The sequence below is a fragment of the Homo sapiens genome, chromosome 4, assembly GCF_000001405.40.
Source record: "Homo sapiens chromosome 4, GRCh38.p14 Primary Assembly".
Lineage (NCBI taxonomy): Eukaryota > Metazoa > Chordata > Mammalia > Primates > Hominidae > Homo > Homo sapiens.
Window position 1 is genome coordinate 127,537,368 of NC_000004.12, and position 20,969 is coordinate 127,558,336.

The 20,969-nt window shown below is 37.7% G+C and overlaps 2 annotated features.

Annotated features, from left to right (window-relative positions):
• Window positions 19,926–20,095: an enhancer, noted in NCBI's record as "experimental_73515 CRE fragment used in MPRA reporter constructs". NCBI's record gives its function as "activates a minimal promoter by MPRAs in K562 erythroleukemia cells, with activity observed for both the introgressed and non-introgressed 4:128478533 or rs72621866 variant alleles {active_cell/tissue: K562}" and the evidence as "EXISTENCE:reporter gene assay evidence [ECO:0000049][PMID:34662402]".
• Window position 20,011: a transcriptional cis regulatory region, noted in NCBI's record as "Neanderthal adaptively introgressed variant 4:128478533 (GRCh37/hg19 assembly coordinates) or rs72621866 in the experimental_73515 CRE". NCBI's record gives its function as "modulates activity of the experimental_73515 enhancer by MPRAs in K562 erythroleukemia cells {active_cell/tissue: K562}" and the evidence as "EXISTENCE:reporter gene assay evidence [ECO:0000049][PMID:34662402]".

The following is a 20,969-nucleotide window of genomic DNA, read 5'->3' on the forward strand; positions in this document are numbered from 1 at the left end:
CTGTGAACACTTGGGTTGTTTCCATATCTTGACTGTTGTGAATAGTGCTGCAATTAATTAACATGGAGGTGCAGATATCTCTGCAAGATCCACATTTTAATTCTTTTGGACATGTACTCAGAAGTAGGATTGCTAGATCATATGCCATTTTCATTTTTAATTTTTTGAGGAATCTTTATACTGTTTTCCATAGCTGCTGTGCCATTTTACATTCCTACCAACAGCGTAGAAGTGTTGTTTTGTTTTTTGTGAGGTTTTTTTGTTTGGATAATAGTCATCCTATTATATATGAGATGACATCTTTAATATTGTTAAAATGTCCACACTACCCAAAGCATTCTACAAATTCAATGCTGTCCCCATCAAAATCCCAATTTTTTAATGAGGTAGATAAAAGCAATTCTACAATTCATATGGAATCACAAAAGATCCAGAATAGCCAACACAATCCTGAGGGAAGAAGGGCAAAGCTGGAGGCATTAAACTTCCTGATTTTAAATTGTATGACAAATATGTACAGTAGTTAAAACAGTATGGAACTGGCATAAAGACAGATATACGTACCAATAGAACAAAATAGCCCAGAGATAATCCACACTAATACAGTCAATTATCTCCCACAAGGATTCCAAGAGTATTCAGTGGGGATAGAATAGACTCTTCAACAAATGGTGTTGGGAAAATTTGATATCCACATGCAAAAGAATGAAATTGGACTCTTATCTCACACCATACACAAAAATCAACTCAAAGTGGATTAAGGACTTAAACACAGCCTGAAACTGTAAAACTACTAAAAGAAAACGTAGGGAGAAAGCTTCTTGACATTGGACTTGGCAATGATTTCTTGGAAATGACCCCAAAAGCATAGGCAACAAAAACAAAAATAGACTAGTGAGACTACATCAAACTAAACAGCTTCTCCAAAGCAAAGGACACAATCAATAGAATGAAACCAACCTATGAATGAAGGCAACCTGTGGAATGGGAGAAAATATTTACAATCCATATATCTTTTAAGGGGTTAATCTCCAAAGTATATAAGGAGTTCCTACAACTCAATAGCAAAAAAACCAAATAACCCAATTAAAAAATGAGCAAAGGGGCCAGGCACGGTGGCTCACACCTGTAATCCCAGCACTTTGGGAGGCCGAGGTGGGCAGATCACCTGAAGTCAGCCTGGCCAACATGGTGAAATCTCGTCTCTACTAAAAAAAATTAAAATAAATAGCTGGGTGTGGTGGTGCGTGCATGTAATCCCAGCTACTCGGGAGACTGAGGCAGGAGAATCGCTTGAACCCAGGAGGCAGAGGTTGCACTGAGCTGAAATAGTGCCACTGCACACCAGTCTGGGCGACAGAGTGAGACTCCGTCTCAAAAAAAAAAAAAAAAAAAATGAACAAAGGACTTTTGAACAGACATTTCTCCCAAAACACACAGATGGCCAGTGGAAATATGAAAAGATGCTCAACATCATTAATTATTAGGAAAATGTGCCTTCATCTCTTATTCTGTATAATAAGAACAAAGGAACAATAATTCCTCCGTGAGGAAATTGAATAGAAACCTCAAACCTGGCTGGTTCAGGCATCTGACATTGCCCGACTTTGGCACACTCCTGCCCCCCGGTGGCAACTTTTAGACATATGAAGGCAGTGGCAAGGACGAAAACAAAACGTGAAAACTGTAAAGCAAAAACCATGAGATGCCTTCCTTGTAATGCACACTGGCTTTTTAATTGTTCATTTTCATGCCTCCTCAGGGCATTTTTTTCACTCCTACTGTATCAATAGTCCGAAGCAAACTATACAGGAAATTTCAGGAGTCATCCAATTACCCTAGAAAAATGATAGTACATTTGTTTTCATTTTTATTTTTTCTTCTTCTCTATTTTACAAGGATTTGTGGAGAATATCTATGGTTTTGTGACATTAATGTGTCCTTTTTTCTAAGTTGTGATAAAATACACCATAACGTAGAATTTACCATCTTAACCATTTTTAAGAGCATATTTTAATGGCATTAAGTATATTCACATCATTGTGCTACTTTAAAGAAAAGATCACGTTTTTCTAATTTAAAAAATAATTATGATTATTGTAAATAGTTCAGAAGGATATTAAAAACAGAAGCAAAAAACTACTCCAAATTTTGCCACCAGAAAAAAAATTATTTTTTATTTTGTTGAACAATGTTCATGAATATCTAACCCAAACATTAGCTAAAGTCCTTGCACCTGTAAAAATCAAGTATATTTTGGCTCTGACCCTAAATGCTCTGCTTCTCCACCTCCATTCTGCGTTTCACCAGCTCTGCATAGAGACCCAGCTGGCCACTGCCCTGTCACTTCACTATGAAGAAGAGTATTTCCTAATGAATGTTGTCTGGTAGCATAAGCAGCTAATGCTTAAGACAGCAGTGTGGGCAGCAGAGAAAAGCAGTCTATGGAAAATTCCATCTTATACATCCTGTCCTTCAAAAATTTCCTAAGCCTTTTCTACTCCAAGGAAATTTTCACTGTATTATATCTTCCACTTACTCCCTGCTGCTGGGCAACCCCCTTCCAACTTCTCTGGCTGGCATCTAGTCCCAAAATTCCTTTTAGTTTCTTATGAAGAAGAATTCTATCCCTTCCCCACCCATCACAACTATGCTAAAAGGAGCCATATCTTCATAACCAAGCACACCTATCTAGCACAATCATTTCAGAGAATTCTGAGGCCATCATTTAAAGAAACAATTAGTTCTCTCACTATATATGCGTAGAATTAGTTCTCTCTCTATGTATGCATAGAATTAGTTCTTGCTTTACATATGCATAGAATTTTTTATTTAAAAAAGCATCAAACTATCAGGGCTGCCACACTGTAAAATTCTTGAAGCACTGTTCACATCCCAGTTGTCACAAATGACAGGACTTCCACTAGGATGTGAATGGGACCCACTGAGGTTATGCATCTCTGAGTCTGTATGAAGAGATCTCTAATACTACACTTGTTACTTTATAACTCCACTGTATCATGGATATTTTTCCCTGTCACTAAATATGGCTATGTATCATTTCTTTAGTAGCAGTTGTAGGAGACCAGAATATGCCATTCAAAATATGACAGTAGAAGACCAGAATGTGCCACCCCAAAATATACCTTTTTAGCATAAAGATTATTTTGAGCTGATTATTCTGAGAAATAGCAGACACACACAGGAGAAGTTCTGAAAACAGAGTAGAGGTTACCCTTTCGTAAGGGAAATTTACATTTAAAAAAGAAATCTCCATTTGTAGAGGTGTCTCCCTCTCTGTACCAGTAAAGGAAGTAAAATCACAGTAAAATCTTAAGAAGGGAGAGGGCCCTCATTTAAATCTGCATAACAAACCTTTCCTTTTTTTGAGACAGGGTCTGGCTGTCACTTAAGCTGGTCTCAAACTCCTAGGCTCAAGTGACCCTCCCACCTTGGCCTGTCAAAGTGCTAGAATTACACGTATGAGCCACCGTGGCTAACTTCTTTTTTACCATACTTTTCCTGGTCACCTCCCCATAACTGGGCCTCCTCCAGATCCTCTTGTATTTAGCTAAAGATGGTAGTTCAGCTTGCATTCTAAGTCATCTCTCTCCCTGGGTATGTCCCATGTAAACATGAGTTGCACAGGTAATACACATGAGGACATTGTTAATAAACTTCTATTTGTTTTCTCTTGTTAATCTGTCTTTTGTTACAGGACGTCCAAGCCAGGAATTTAGGACAGACAGAAAATTATGTTTTGCTCCTTCACACTGTGAAGTATTCCATACTATATAATGTCCCATTGTCTGTAACCAACATATCTAACTAACTCCTTACAATAGGTAATTAGGTTATTTCCAATTTCTCATTATTATAAGCAGTGCTATTACTAGCTCCTCAAATATATGCCTTTGTGAAGATACCAGATTATAACCTTAGAATACATTTGTAGATATAAAATAAAGGATATACACATTATACATTTTGCCACATACTCCCAACTGCTCTCTTAAGAAGTGCCAGATTTTACTACACAGAGTCCTTTTCCTGTACTCGATTTCCAACGTAGACATTATTATATTTTTCTCCTTTTTCAATAAAATGGGCAAAAAAATGACATCTTGATAAATGTGTGTTTTCTGTGGTTACAAGCAAAGTGGAACCTCTGTTTTATATATTTATTGGCCATTTGCACTTCTCCATTTGTAAATAACACCTTTATCTTTTGGTCCATTTTTCTATTGGCGGGTTTATCTTTTTCTTGTCAATTTGCAAGAGCTATTTAAAAATTAGCAACATACTTAAACAATTGTTGGTTTTTATTTTACGTTTTGGAAATTGCCTTTATCTCAAGGGCTGCCCACTGTTAAAGCTAGACCATGAGACTAAAACTTACTCTTTCAGTGAACTGGTGAATAGGAAGAAGAAACAAAAATCAAATTCCTGACTTGGAGTTCCAAAATAGGCACTTGATATTGTTACTGGTGGAAGATATCTGAATTACTAGTAGCAAATCCCTACAGGTATGCAGTAACCTCAGTTCTTACCTCCTCAGAAGAAAGGATTCAACTGAGGGACATAAGGCAGAAAAAGAGACCAAGGCAAGTTTCAGAGCAGGAGTAGAAGTTTATTTTAAAAGGCTTCAGAACAGGAAAGAAAGGAAAGTATGCTTTCAAGAGACTCCAATAGACACTGCAGACTACTGTTGGGGAGAGAGGGAGGTGGACAAGGGTTGAAAAACTACCTGTTGGGTATTATGCTCACTACCTCTGTGACAGGTTCAGTCATACCCTAAACCTCAGCATCACACAATATACCTTGGTAACAAACCTGCGCATGTACCCCCCGATTCTAAAATAAAAGTTGAAAAAGAAAATAAAAGGAGCCTAAGACACTCCCTCAAGTTTTGTATAGCTAAAGGAATAGCTGAGGCCAGGCACGGTGGTTCACGCCTGTAATCCCAGCACTTTGGGAGGCTGAGGCAGGCGGATCACGAGGTCAAGAGATCGAGACCATCCTGGCCAACATGGTGAAACCCCATCTCTACTAAAAATACAAAAATTAGCTGGGCATCGTGGCACACACCTGTAGTCCCAGCTACTTGGGAGGCTGAGGCAGGAGAATCACTGGAACCTGGGAGGCGGAGGTTGCAGTGAGCCGAGATTGCGCCGCTGCACTCCAGCCTGGTGACAGAGTGAGACTCCGTCTAAGAAAAGAAAAAGAAAAAGGAAATAGCTGAGAGAGTTTCAGCAGACGAGATGCCATATTAGGTCAGAAATGTGCCTTCACCAGATAGGATATTGATTATATAAGCCACATGTCATGGCAGAAGCAAAAATATCAGAGGCAAAAACGTGAACAGCAGCTGCAGTGAGGATAGAGGCTATAAAGCAAAGTACATATTATCAGACCCCAGCAGATGACAACTGGACCAGTTTCCTCCTTCTACCAATGCCAAGGCACCATGTTAACCACCTGGAATACAACTGCCATTTAGGGAGAGGGGGCACAAGAAGGGAGGTATATAGATTAGACAAAAAAGTTATCAGTATCAAAATGGAGTCACTGATGTGAAGCCCTAATAAAAGGGAGCTGGAGGCCATGAAAAAGGGGTCCTCATACATGCATATCTATGCTGGGAACTCTGCAAGGAATTCCTTAAAACTGCAGTATTCCATATGAGCTGCGTGCCCAAAGACACTTGCCTAACAATGTCTCTGCCAATGAGTTAATGCCAACTATTGCAACAAGCTCCAATAGTCTTGTTCCAAAACAGCTTCTGTGGACTTCACCTTTCTGTCCTTAAAAGCTTTCCCCTACCCCACCTCCCTTGGATGCACCTATGATCCATCATAGCATGCATATCCTGGATTGCAATCTCCTGCTACTCTGGAATAAACTCTTTGCTCTGGAAGATCAGTCTCTCTGTTGCTCACTTTAGGTTGACCCAGAAAACGCTGAACCCTGAGAAATCACTACATCTAACTAAGTTTACTGGGAAATGACTAGATTAAATGTTTCATTGCCAAAGAAGAAAATTAAAATTTGTGCTAATATTGAATTTTAAATAGAGAAAGTTATACTTTTAAACACTAAAGTTTCAAAAATAAAATTATTTCCTGGTCCATATTAGTATATATGTTGCCAATATTTTTACTATACTGTAATTTACCTTTTAACCTTTTGGGGGTTTTGTTGATGGTGTTTTTTGTTTGGTTGGTTTTTGCCTTACAGTGCATGTTTGACTGTATTCCTTTATGCTTTCTGGATTGGGTATGATGCTTTGAAAGGTTTCCTTTGTTCCCAAATCATAAAAATATCCAACTATATTTTCTTCACTATTCTTAAGGCTTCAATTTTTGTAAGTAACACTTTGTTCTTGCACTATTGAATATAGATGCATCAATCTATAATTTGATGCATCTAAATTCATTTAAGTACAGAGATAAAAAAAAGAAATCTGGCTTTTTTTCCAAGTGATCATCAGCTTTCCTAACATAATTCATTAGTTTTATCTTTTCCTTAGTAGAATTAATAACCTCTTCATCATAAATTATATTTCTTTATATATAAAGAATTCAGTCTTTATCTGAAACCTGCTTTATCCCATATAGCTACATATTTTAACTGTTAAAGATTCATAACATATTTTAATAAGTGATACCTTCATTAAAATTTATTTTAAGAAATTTCCTGGATATTTTCACGTATTTCTTATTTCAGATAAAATTTAGTTTTTCAAGATTCCCCAAAATATATCTCAAGCTTTGTATTCAATGAAATTATATATTATTTTTACACTATTGAGTATTTCTATTCAAAATGTTACTAATTAATGATATGGACAGGAGACAGGGAAATACTGGGTAGAAGAGGGCAGTTCCCCAGCAAAGGCCCCACCCTCAAGCCTGGAAAACCGCAGCCTTAAATGGAAACAGGCATTCCTGTTTTTGTGCCCAAATGTTGCCTTTTGGCCCATTATCCCCACCCCCCATCCTACACCCATATAAACCCCAAACCCCAGGCTCCATAAGTATATGAGCAGAAGAGCAGAGGAACAGAAGAGTGGCACCACAGAGAAGGAGAGAAGAAAAGGAGTGTCTGAATGTCAAGAAGAGTTCGGCTGGGGACGGTCAGAGAGGAGATTGGCTGTGGGACAACTGAACTCCGGGGGAAGATCATCTTCCCACTCCATCCCCTTTCCAGCTCCACATCCATACTGCTGAGGGCCACCTCCATCCAGCAATAAAATCCCCCACATTTACCATTCTTCAATTTGTCTATGTGAATTGATTCTTCCTGGACACCAGACAAGATGGCACAGAGCTGGTAACACTTAAGCCATCTGCAGACAGCAAAGCTAAAAGAACACTGTAGCATGCCTACTGGGGCTTCAAGAGCTACAGGCACATACCCCTAGACACTACCGTGGGGCTGGAGCCCAAAAACACTTGCCCCAGCTCCTGACCCTGCCTGTCTGCCTGCTCCCCATCCTGTAAGGGGTTTGAGAGCACAGAAGCTGAACGGACGAGCCACACTCCTGTCATACATCCTGCAAGGGGGATCAGGGAACTCTCCCATTTCATTACCATATGGAAATTAATAGCTTTCATATGTATAATCAGTAATCAGTTAGAGGATATAAGAATAGAGAAAAGGTGGCCAGGCACAGTGGCTCATGCCTGTAATCCCAGCACTTTGGGAGGTCGAGGTGGGTGGATCACTTGAACCCAGGATTTTGAGATCAGCCTGGCCAACATGGTGAAACCTCATCTCTACTAAAAATACAAAAATTAGCCTGGTGTGGTGGCAGACGCCTGTAATCCCAGCTACTCAGGAGGCTGAGGCAGGAGAATCACTTAAACCCATGAGGCGGAGGTTGCAGTGAGCCAATGTCATGCCACTGCATTCCAGCCTGGGCAACAGAGCAAGACTCTCTCAAAAAAATAAAGAGAAAAGCTCATTTATAATACCAACCAAGAAGTTAATATACTTGGGGAAATTTACTGAGAAATATGCAAAACCTACATTAGAAAAACTTTAAAACACTTCTGAAGATATAAAATATAGCTAAATAAATAGAAAAATATGATGACTCAACATCTTGAAATGTCAGCTGTCCCTAAGTTGATCTATAAATTTAATGTGATCTCAATAAAAATACCAACAAGCTTACTATGTAACTATTGATAGACTATACAATATTGAACTTCATGTAGAAAAATGAACATATAGAATACACAGCACAACACAAAAAATAAAAACTGATGGAGGAAGGGATGACTAACCCTACCAGGCATTGAAACACTATAGAACTGCTATAATTAAAATAATGTGGTATTGTACATAAATACGCAGACTAGTCAAACAGAAGTTTTAAAAATAGACTCAAGTACATATTAAACTTCAGTATATGATAAAAATGGCATCTCAAGTCACCACTACAAAAATTGACTTTTTCATAAATGGAGTGAGAACAACTGTTTAACCATCTGAGAAAAATCAAAATTAAATTTGCACCTGACAACACACACACATGCGCACGCACACACACACACCTCTAAATGGATTAGAGATCTAAATATTAAAAAAAAACCATACAAGTACTAGAAAACATGGTTGAATTCTGCATTAACCTGTAAGGGATAATTTCCAACCATAACTAAAAACACAGAAGCAGTTTTTAAAAGATTGATACATTTGACTACATTAAAAATCAACAACTACTCATAGCAAAAAAAAAATATCAACTGACAAACTGAGAAAAAAAATCTGTATCATATATGTCACAGATAAAGAACTAATATCCTTAATATAGAAGTAACTCTTAAAGGTTAAGAGATAAAATATCAAAAACATGACAGAAAAATGGGCAAAAGACATGAACGGATGATTCACACACACCAGAAAAAAGATATAAAAATAGCCCTTAAATATATGACAACATTTTCATCCTCATTCGTGATCGAAGAAATGCAAATTAAAGCAACCACTCTCTTGGCAAGGCTTAGGGTAATAATTATTCTCATATACTGCTGGTGGGAAAGCAAATACAACAGTTAAAACACAATAAATGGGGGGCATCACCTAGTGCTGAGCTTTAATGATAAAAATAAATAAGACACACTCCCTGGCCTTGTATGCACAGTCCCTCTCCCCTGTCTCTGAAAAGCAAACAGTGCAGGAGAGGGCTGGGCACATACAGTCTAATTGCAGCGTACTGTGCTAAGTGCCAGAATGTCATGAGAGCAAAGAGGAGAGCATTTAGAGTAGTAGGAGAGAGTTTCCTGGAGGAAGTGATGCCTAAACCAGTACAAGTGAGTCAGAAGGAAGGAAAGGGGAAGGCAAATGTAAAGAGCCTGCGCTTCATCACATCAGCAAGGTGGAGCCATTGCAGTATCTCATAAAAAGTTGTGGCACTCAATTCTACAGCAGATATAATCTTGCCAATGGGACAAGAATACCTGATGGCCAACAGGCCATCTCTCCTCAACAGTAACAGAGTTGCCCACTTTCACTATCCTTTTTCTAGCTTTCATGACCGACGAGGACTCTCTAAGTGAATGGATGCAACCACAATCAGGTTACAGTGACATCTGGCTTACCTACTTGGCCTCTTACGGTCTGATCATTTTGCGATAATATTGAAGTTGTGCCCCCAAAGTGTAATCTGATTCCAAGGCTCTTGGTGAACACCTCACTAAAGAACCCATCTCAGGGTATAAATCAGGTGATCCTTTCAAATATATTGTACATAGCAAATTGCAGAGAACAATGGCTGTTCAACACGAAAACCGCGTAGTAAATTACAGAAACGGTTTAGCAGACAAATGATGAGGGTGCAACTTGGACAATCATGATGGATGCAGAGAGGAGAAGCCAAAGTGAGCTGACATCACACCTTTCTTCCACACACAGAACAATTACTTCTTTTCATTATAAGGTTTAAGCCTGAAAATATCTTAACCCAGCATTAAGTATGACAATCAAAATCAAATATCACATATACAATAGGAGGGCTTTATAATTCCCTTTATTTTTATTTGTCCATTCAGAATTCGTTCACTTGTTTAGTATTCTATTTTTTTTTAAAGTGGCATTAATGGTAATGTTCACTGAGGTAGAATTTACCTGGTACGTGTACAAATTTCATATCAGTCTCATAACTGTAACAATGAAAACACAAACGCGTGGCAGAATTTTTTTTTTTTAGATGGAATCTCACTCTGCCGCCCAGGCTGGAGTGCAATGGTGCGATCTCGGCTCACTGCAACCTCCAACTCCAGGGTTCAAGTGATTCTCCTGCCTCAGCCTCCCGAGTAGCTGGGATCACAGGTGCCCACCACCATGTCCAGCTAATTTTTGTATTTTTAGTAGACATGGGGTTTCACCATGTTGGTAAGGCCTGTCTTGAACTCCTGACCTCAGGCAATCCATCCACTGGCCTTGGCCTCCCAAAGCGCTGGGATTACAGGTACAGAATTTTTTTAAGTGGTCAGACTGTTCGTTATGAATGAACCTTACGAAATGAAGTGAGCCACATCTCCAGAAATGGCACTCAGTATTTGTTGCAGAGGAACTGGCAGAGCATTACAAATGTTACAAAACATTACAGAGAAAATGGAGGCCGGGCACGGTGGCTAACAACTGTAATCCCAGCACTTGGGGAGGCTGAAGCGGGTGAATCACCTGAGGTTAGGAGTTCGAGACCAGCCTGGCAAACATGGCAAAACATCCTCTCTACTAAAAATACAAAAAAATTAGCTGGGTGTGATGGTGGGTGCCTGTAATCCCAGCTACTTGGGAGGCTGAAGCACAAGAATTGCATGAGCCCGGGCGGTGGAGGTTGCAGTGAGCCGAGATCATGCCACTGTACTCCAGCCTGGGCAACAGAACGAAACTCCATCTCAATGAAAAAGAAAAAGAAACAGAAACAGAAAGAGAGAGAGAGAGAGAGAGAGAGAGAGAGAGAGAGAGAGAGAGGGAGAGAGAGAGAGAGAGAGAGAGAGAGAGAGAGAAAGAAAGAAAGAAGGAAAGAAAGAAAGAAAGAAAGAAAGAGAAAGAAAGAAAAGGAAAGAGAGAAAATGGAGCTTTTCTAGGTTTGTTTTCTGTCAATTATGCTACTGCAGAAAGGAATTTTTTTCTTTTTTCTTATTCATTCTCCTTGACTGTAATCAATCAACATCTTAAAAAATTACTTATCATAATAAACTTTAGTACCTTTATGTTTATAGACAGCTTAAATTAGTTCCTTCTTTTTAGGTGAGATTCTTCTCTTCTACATTTATGCCGTTTTCAACTTAACTTCACCACTTCAACTGGTGAAGTTAAGTTGAAAACAGAATATATATATTCAGACATACATATATATGTGTCTGGATCTGTGTATGGATGTATATACATATACATATACATTATACACTATAAGCTTTGCATTGCATCTTCAGTTATTACATAATAATAATGTAAAAAAAATCACAAAAACAAGCCCTTTTTTCCTATAAATGTTTGTCTAGCAGCTTAGGAAAATGATCTTTGCAAACTTTGTCACTTACCGTTCAAGTTATAGAATCAATAGTAGGCTTGAGATTGCAGTAGCATTTCCTAACTTAAACAGCACAAAAGCTGTCTCACACATGTGAGATGAGAATTTGATTAAGCTTGCAAAAGTTTTCCTTTTAGAAATGATGTAGATTTTTAAATTTACGTATCTAGTATTTTACAACTTGCTTGAGAATTGCTTCAAATCCTACACCACACAGGCCTTTAACTTTAACAGTATTTGCCTCTTACCTAATGCCATCTGGTGTAGATCAACATATTATATATAGCATCATCTCCAAAGAATTCTCTGTATTATTTATAAATATTATAATATGGATTGTAATAAGTTATGGAAAAAATGCAAACACATCTGGAGGTCATTTAACAAAAATCAATAAAACCTTTATAAAGTGAACCATTATTCATATGTTAACCTGATTGGCTTACTAAACATTTCCATTGTTTCATTAAACATTGCCAATTTTTCCAAATATGCCTCAGGGTCTATCAAAAGAATCAGTGGCTACATAAAACACTAATTAAGTTTTTCATAGCACTATTCCTTAGAAAGCTATAATCCTCTCACACTGATGAATCTTTATTTAGGCAATAGAAATGTGAGCACTTCAGCTACACAGGCAAAAGGAAATAGAAAATTATCACTGTCCATCTTCCAGGCAATCTATATAATACAAACTACCCATTAAAGATTACTTTGCCCAAGTTTTCTAAATCATTTTTCAAACCTCAGCGTTCCTTTGTCTATGTCAATATAACTATCAGACATTCCTATAAAAGAGCTTCCTCACACATTTTCAAACCACCAAAACCACAGTCACACATATTTATTATCCCAGTGGACTTTCCCTTACAAATTCCTGTTGATTTTAGCAGGACACACCCATTCCCCTGAGTATAGTCAGCTCTTCTCATCTACTCTAATGAGAGAAAACATTCTGTTAATAAAGCAGGTGGCAACCATTATAAATGTCTTATTAAATATTAAATAGTGGGGTTTTTTCTGAGCCAAGGAACAGTAATAGGCAATATCCAAACTTATGCACTATACTGGCAAAGGAGCTTTTTTATAGACTCTTTCCAGAATTAAGTGGTTTGACATCTCACCCTGATAGACAGGAAGATCACTATTTCTGACAGCCCACTTGTGCCAAGTACCGTACTAGGCATGTTATATACATTATTATTTTACAGACAAGTAACTAAGGTTCTTACAGGTTAAATAAGTTACCTACTAAAGGACACATAATTTTAATGCATCAGCCTGACTCCAAACCCCAAGCCCCTCCAACTTTTCCACACTGTACACATCCCCAGCCTTTGGGTATATAACACAAAAATGTAAAGGCATTGCAAATTAATCCACATCTCAGGCCAAGTTTACAGAGAGAATGTATCTCCTTCACTTTGCCTGTAGTTATATGGTTTTCCCCTAGGTGGGAGAGGAAAAGATTACTAAACGTCAAATCTTGTTTAAACTCTAGTCCAATTCAGTAATTTGAACTGTCTGCACAGGTGGTATCTAGTGGTCCTTCTATACCATATGTTCCCTGCCATAGAGAAGAAAGACTCATGGCTTAGATGGCAATGCAAATGGCACCTCCTCTGCTCTAGGAATTGAGTGCTCCAAATTTGCTTCTTGATATGCAAAAGTGGGAGAATAAAGGATTTTAGAAAACCCTCTCTATATATACACAGGCTTACAAGAATATAATCTTGGAGCAAATTTGAATTGAGGAGATATATTCCTTCCATAACCTTTTCTCCTTCCTCACCTCAAGTAAATGAATTCATAGACCAAATAGACCAAAGGTTATATATTCAGAAAAGTGAAAGAGAAAAGTATATTAATAAATTTCAGGCTATTTTTAGCAATCATAAAAGCATGAGTAGATGGAGCTGGTAAAATACAATGCCAATTTTGTGGAATAATTTTTCATTTGAAAATAAAATCTTTTTAATGTGAGTGTATTGTTCACACTATGAGAATAAACAATGGATTAGAAATTGTCACAAAATCTTTTAAGAGGGTTTCCCCATTTAATTGTCTTTTTTATAATTTTTAACTATTATAATTTTATAATTTTTAACTATTAAGAAGTAATTCTCAAAATACAACAAATATATATATATATAATTGTAACAATTTCCGTTGAATATCATTTTCTCTCCCAAAGTAACAGGAGTGATGTTAACCCTCTTGTGTGTATTTTCCATGCGTACATTTGCACAAACATACATTCTTGCAGACGTATGAATAAAGATTTTTTTGTACGGTTGTTGAAATAGTATCCCCACCCAAATCTCATCTTGAGTTGTAGTTCCCATAATCCCCACGTGTTGTGGGAGAGAACCAGTGAGAGGTAATTTAATCATGGGGGCAGTTACCCCCATGCTGCTGTTCTCATGATAGTGAGCTCATTCTCATGAGATCTGATGGCTTTAAGGGGCTTTTCCCCCTTTTGTTCAGCACTTTTTCTTCCTGCTGCCATGTGAAAAAGGATGTGTTTGCTTCTCCTTCCACCATGATTGTAAGTTTCCTGAGGCCTCTCCAGCCATGCTGAACTGTGAGTTAATTAAACCTCTTTCCTTCATAAACTGCCCAGTCTTGGGTATGTCTTTATTAACAGCATGAGAATGAACTAATACAGTAAATTGGTACCCACAGAGTGGACTGCTGCTGTAAAGATACTCAAAAATGTGGAAGCAACTTTGAAACTGGATAACAGGCAGAGTTTGGAACAGTTTGGAGGGCTCAGAAGAAGACAGGAAAATGTGGGAAAGTTTGAAACTTCCTAGAGACTTGTTAAATGCCTTTGACCAAAATGCTGATAGTGATATGGACAATGAAGTCCAGGCTAAGGTGGTCTCCAATAGAGATGAGGAACTTGTTGGGAACTGGAGCAAAGAGGACTTTTGCTATGTTTTAGCAAAAAGATTGGCAGCATTTTGCCCCTGCCCTAGAGATCTGTGGAACTTTGAACTTCAGAGAGATGATTTAATGTATCTGGTAGAAGAAATTTCTAAGTAGCAAAGTGTTCAAGAGGAAGCAAAGCATAAAAGTTTGAAAAATTTGTATCCTGACTATGTGATAGAAAAGAAAACCCCATTTTCTGGGGAGAAATTCAAGCTTGCTGCAGAAATTTGCATAAGTAATGAGGAGCTGCATGTTAATCATCAAGACAATGGGGAAAATGTCTCCAGGGGAAGACAATGGGGAAAATGTCTTCAGGGCATGTCAGATACCTTTGCAGCAGCCCCTCTGATCAGAGGCCCAGAGGCCTAGGAGGGAAAATGATTTACTAGGCTGGGCCCAGGACCCCCATGCTGTGTGCAGCTTCAGGACTTGGTGCCCTGCATCCCAGCCACTCCAGCCATGGCTAAAAAGGACTGAGGTACAGCTCAGGTCATTGCTTCAGAGAATACAAGCCCCAAGCCTTTGCAGTTTCCACCTGGTATTGAGCCTGTGGGTAGACAGAAATCAAGAATTGGGGTTTGGGAACCTCCGCCTAGATTTCAGAGAATGTATGGAAATGACTGGATGTCCAAGCAGAAGTTTGCCGCGGGGGTGGAGCCTTCATAGAGAACCTCTGCTAGGGCAGTGCAGAAGGGAAATGTGGGGTCTAGAGCCCCCACAGAGTCCCCACTGGGGCACTAGCTCCACTAGTGGAGCTGTGAGAAGAGGGTCACCATCGTCCAGACCCCAGAATGGTAGATCCACTGACAGCTTGCACCATGTACCTGGAAAAGCCTCAGGCACTCAATGCCAGCCCATGAAAGCAGCTGGGAGAGGGGCTATACTCTGCAAAGCCACAAGAGTGGAGATTCCCAAGGACATGGGAGCCCATCTCTTGTATCAGCATGACTTGAATATGAGACAAAGGGTCAAAGGAGATCATTTTGGAACTTTAAGGTTTAACAACTGCCTTATTAGATTTCAGACTTGCATGGAGCCTGCACCTGGTTTGTTTTGGCCAATTTCTCCCATTTGGGATGCATATATTTACCCAATGCCTGTACCCCCATTTTATCTAGGAAGTAACTAACTTGCTTTTGATTTTACAGGCTCATAGGCATAAGGGACTTGCCTTGTCTCAGATGAGTTTCAGCATTAACTGAAAATGCTGAAACTCATTTCAGCATTAACTCAGATGGACTTTTGAGTTAATGCTGAAATGAGCTAAGACTTTGGGGAACTGTTGGGAAGGCATGATTGGTTTTGAAATGTGAGGCCATGAGATTTGGGAGGGGCCAAATGATATGGTTTGGCTGTGTCCCCACCCAAGTCTCATCTTGAATTGTAGTTCCTATAATCCCCACTTGTTGTGGGAGGAACCTGGTGGGAAGTAATTGAATCATGGGGGTGTTATTCCCATGCTGCAGTTCTTGTGATAGTGAGTAAGTTCTCATGAGAGCTGATGTTTTTATAAGGGGCTTTTCCTCCTTTTGCACAGCACTTTTCCTTCCTGTCATCATATGAAGAAGGATGTGTTTGCTTCCCCTTCTGCCATGTTTGTAAGTTTCCTGAGGCCTCCTCAGCCATGCTGAACTGTGAGTCAATTAAACCCTTTATAAATTACCCAGTCTCAGGTATATCTTTATTAGCAGCATGAGTACAGACTAATACAATTGTATAAACAATCTATACACATTACTCTGCAATTTGCCTTTCTCATTTAATAATCGTTGAAACTTAATTCTCATATTGGTAAATAATAATAATAATAAAGTCCCACACAAATAGTAATGGGCACATGTCAAAATTTTATTTGACTCATTAATGAGGAAACTAGCAGAATGAGATTGATTCAATTTGAATGAGAAACTTGAATTTATATTCATATTAACAGTGAAAAAAAGAATACCTTAAATAAAACTGCTAGATTAAATATAAAATTGACCACTGTCCTATAGGGGAATAAAATCATAACATTTGGAGTTATTTTTACTATACAAAAAAAAAAATTGCACCTTATTACATTTCTGCAAGTTAACCTCTAGCTTTACCAAGTTTTAAAATTTAAGTGAAACCGTCTCTTTTCCCATGGTGAGAGCTAGATGACCTTTACAGTGGCTTGTTAGAAAATGTTATAGCAGGATATTAAGATCATCTTTTTTGCCCTATTTTTAAGTTTTGGAGAATTTTCCAAAACATAATAGATCACAGATATCCTTCTGGATTAGCAGATTTACCTCAAATGTATTTTTAATAACTGCATAATCAACACATAGTATAACTGTTCTATAAATAATCCAACAATCACTCTATTTGTGAACATACAGTTTTTTTCCAACATTTTGGCCACTACAAATAATGCTGGTTTAATATCTTTGTATATATGTGTTTTGATACTGGTGCTTCTATCATATAAGATAAAGTCCCCAAAATAGGGATATCTAAATCAAAGAAAATAGATGTTCTAATTTAATATCTATTGCCTTACTCTTTTATGAGTTTTCATAGTTTTGGATGTAGTCCTGTGTATACTTTTAACCTAGTTAAGTCAAAATAATCCCAACAAGATTGAAAATATGGGTAGCCTGCAAGCTGTGGCCAACCCATGAAAAGATAACAAGTAGGTTTCATGCCAAGAACTTAGTAGCAATGATTACTCAAACTTTGAATCAAAAAAAAATAAAGTATATATCTTTGTTGGTTAAAAATAAAATGTTTATATTTTTCTGTTATTTCTTTCTCTTGATTATTCTCATTCACTAGTTATTGATTTTCTTACCACATTTGGTACTATTCATGTGTAAATAAATAGTTTAACTTTTATTAATATACAATAACTGCTTTGTTTCTTCTGTAGTGCAAGAAAATGTTAAAGCAATCAGGCTGCACTAACATTTTCCTCAAAACACTTGACTTCATGAACATCTAATGAGAGGAAAAATATCATGTTCTGAACTAGCCTTTTAAAGGCTTATACAAAATATTTGTTAATAGAGAAAATGTAGAAACAACTTACACATCCCTCAGTAAGAAACTGATGAAATATATTACGGTATATACATACTATGTAATATTATGCAGTTGCTCCTTCAACAGTCATTCGTACCAGGACTGTTTGAGGTACTGAGGATTAAAGATGCTCGAAAGAAGACACAATTATAGTTGGAAGGACTCAAATCAGCACACTAATAAATTTATAACTACAAACAAACTAAAAGTCTAAAGGAAACACTATTGTATAAGGGCCTATAACACTAAGGAACCCGATCTAGACTTACACTGAGAAGGTAATTACTGATTTAGGGTCAGTTGGTAAAAGAAAGGGAAGAACATTCCAGTCAGAAAGAGCAGCATATGCAAGTCCCTATTGCCAGAAGGTGACAGGTGTGGCTGAAGCCCAGGAGCTGGGAAAGTGCCAGGAGATGAAGAAAGGGAGGTAAGTAGAGCAAGACTAAAAACTCTGAGTCATGGGAAACCACTGAAAGGCTTTAAGTAGAAAAGTAACACAATCTAGTTTAAATTTTAAAAGATAATTCTGGCTGCATTGAGGAGAAGGATTTGGTTAGAAGCCCAAGTGGATGTGTAGAGACCAGATAGGAAACTGAACAGGTGAAACACTGGCACCATGTCTGTGGAAATGGAGAGAAATTGGCAGATTTGAGAGATAGTAAGGAGATAAACAGAATTTGGATTTAATCAACTGGATTGAACATGGGAAGTTAAAGAGAAGGATTGCCAGGAGCAATGGGTGTCTGGTTTGTAAAATTAAATGGATGTGTAACTGGATTCTATGAAGCAAGAGCACAAACGGAGGACAGATTTGTGAGGGGAGAACATGATGGAATTGAAATGGAAATATCAAGTGAGAAGTTGGATACTCAAACCTGAAATGTAAAAGAGAGATCTGGACTGAAAATAAAAATTTGCAAGTCATAAAATAAAAGGGCAATTGAAACTCTGAGAGTGAATGACATCTTGTAAGGAGAAAATATCACATGAGAAAAGAAAAAAGAGACAGAGAATAAAAGAGGAAAAGGAGGAGAGAGAAGAGGTGAGAGGAGACTAGGATTGAACCTGAAGGTACTCCCATATGTAAGGGTTGCAAAGAAGACAGAGAAGGAGTGGTCAGAGAGGTAGAAGAGAAACCGGGAAAGAGGTAGATTTCTAAGCATTAACAGGTATATAGATTTAAGTGAGAAAACTTTTGAACATTACATAAAACCAGATTTTATTACTATAAAAAATTCAAATGATATACATAGACATAGATACTCATATATGTGTGTTAATACATAGATAAAAACTGGGATAAAAGAAACACAAAAAACTGTAGTAGTGGTTATCACTAGAGATTAAAGAGGAAGTTTAAGAGGCATGTTTACATTGTACTTTTTGCATTTCTATTTGTAATTAATCAATTAAATTACATATATAATTTAAGATATATATATATATATAGTGCTATTTCCTTTAAAGAAAAAGAAAAATATGAAGAGAATTACCAAAACATCCAAAGGAAAAAAACAGCAAAAACATGGATATCCTAAATAGTAGAAAAATAGAGCTAAAATTTTGAAAACTATATCTGTCAAAATATCTGATAAACATTAAGTTACTATATAACCCAATAATTTCACTCCATTGTATATACCCAAGAGTAATGAAAACATGTTCACATAAAAACTTGTACATAAATATTCATAGCAGCATTATTCATAGTAGCCAAAAAGTGGAAACAATCAAATGTTCATCAACTGATGAGTGAATGAAGTAAATATGATATTCCACACAATGGAACACTATTTAGCAATAAAAAGGAATGAAGTACTGATAAATGCTACAACACGGAGCAACCTTGAAAACATCATGTTACATGAAAGAAGGCAGATACAAAAGGCCACATATTGTGTGATCCCATTTATAGGTAATGTCCAGAATACAGAACCACAGAGACAGAAAGCAGATTGGTGGTTGCTAGGAGCTAGAGAATGGAGGAATAGAGAATGACTGCTTAATGAGTATTAAGTCTCTTTTGGAAGGATGATTAAAATAGTCTGGAATTAGATAGTGGCGATATTTGCACAACTTTATGAAAAAAACTAAAAAATGACGGAATTGTATATATTAAAATGGTAAATTCTGCAGGACATGGATTATATTTCAATTTTTTTAATGAAGGTGAGAGATACCTTGTGAAGTGAAGAAGGGTATGACTCCTCTCTGAATGGTCAAACATTGGAACAGAGCTACTCTAACTTTACTACAAGCTTCCAGTAAACATCTTCTTTTTACAGTCTGGAAAAGAACAAAAAATTACCTGAAAATTCAAGTATATAAATATGTTAGTACATTATATTTCAATGTGCACTGGCCAGGTAGATCCTTTTCTTACATCTAACAAAGAATAAAGTAAGGATGAAACTCCATGAAGTTATAAAAAACTGTATCTGAGATCTCGGCATTCCCCCCTACACACCCAAGCTCTATCAGTACAGCCCAGAGTCCTTTTCTTGTATGGACTATGCCCTTTCTTAATTATTGTTTCTTAGCTCCCAAACTACTCCCTCTTTACTCTGATTTGTGATGCTGGGGCTGGAACTCTGCAAACCACAGTCTGCTTTGCCAGTCGACTACTGTCAGGCTTTTCTAACAGGGGGGCAGACTGTAAGGCTGCAGTAGGGAAAAGAGACATGATCCTTCCTGTCCACTTCCTGTTAGTTCTATTGGCTGTCTTCCTACTTCCTAGTTCAGCAACAGCAGCAGTACCTTCCCACAGCAGTGGTTGAATCCAGTTTGTGGTTCTTCCAACACTTTCAGAACCAGCCTCAAGCATCCTTCAATGGATAATACTCCATTATATGTATGTACCCCAATTTTTTCCCATTCATCCATTAATGGATATTTGGGCTGTTTCCACCTGTTGGCTATTACAAATAGTGTTGCTAGAAAGTGAAAGAAGCTGACACAAAAGGCCACATATTGTATGATTCCATTTATATGAAATATCCAGAACAGGCAAAACCATAGACACAGAATGCTGACTGGTGCCTTCCAGGGGCTAAAGAGAGGAATGAATGTGGAGCAACTGCTTAATAAGTGCGGGGTTTTCTTTTGGGGTGATGAAAATATTTTGAAACTAGAAAAAAGTGGTAGTTGCACAACATTTGTAAATATAGTAAATGCCACTGAGTTATTGATTCTAGAATGATTAGTTTTATATTATGTCAGTTTTGCCTCAACAAAAATAAATAAGTAACTGGGTGGTTTCTCCTGACTGGGCCCGGACTGATACACGGACCTTCATTACACCCACAGCAGCCTTCAAGTTTGCCTTTGCCACCTGAGCTGCATGGCCTCTCGCCAGCTTTGTTCTTGTCTGTTCCTCCAGTTTTTACTGTTTGGGAAGTGGGTAATTATCAACAGAAAGTATTGTCTTGACTTGTGCTGC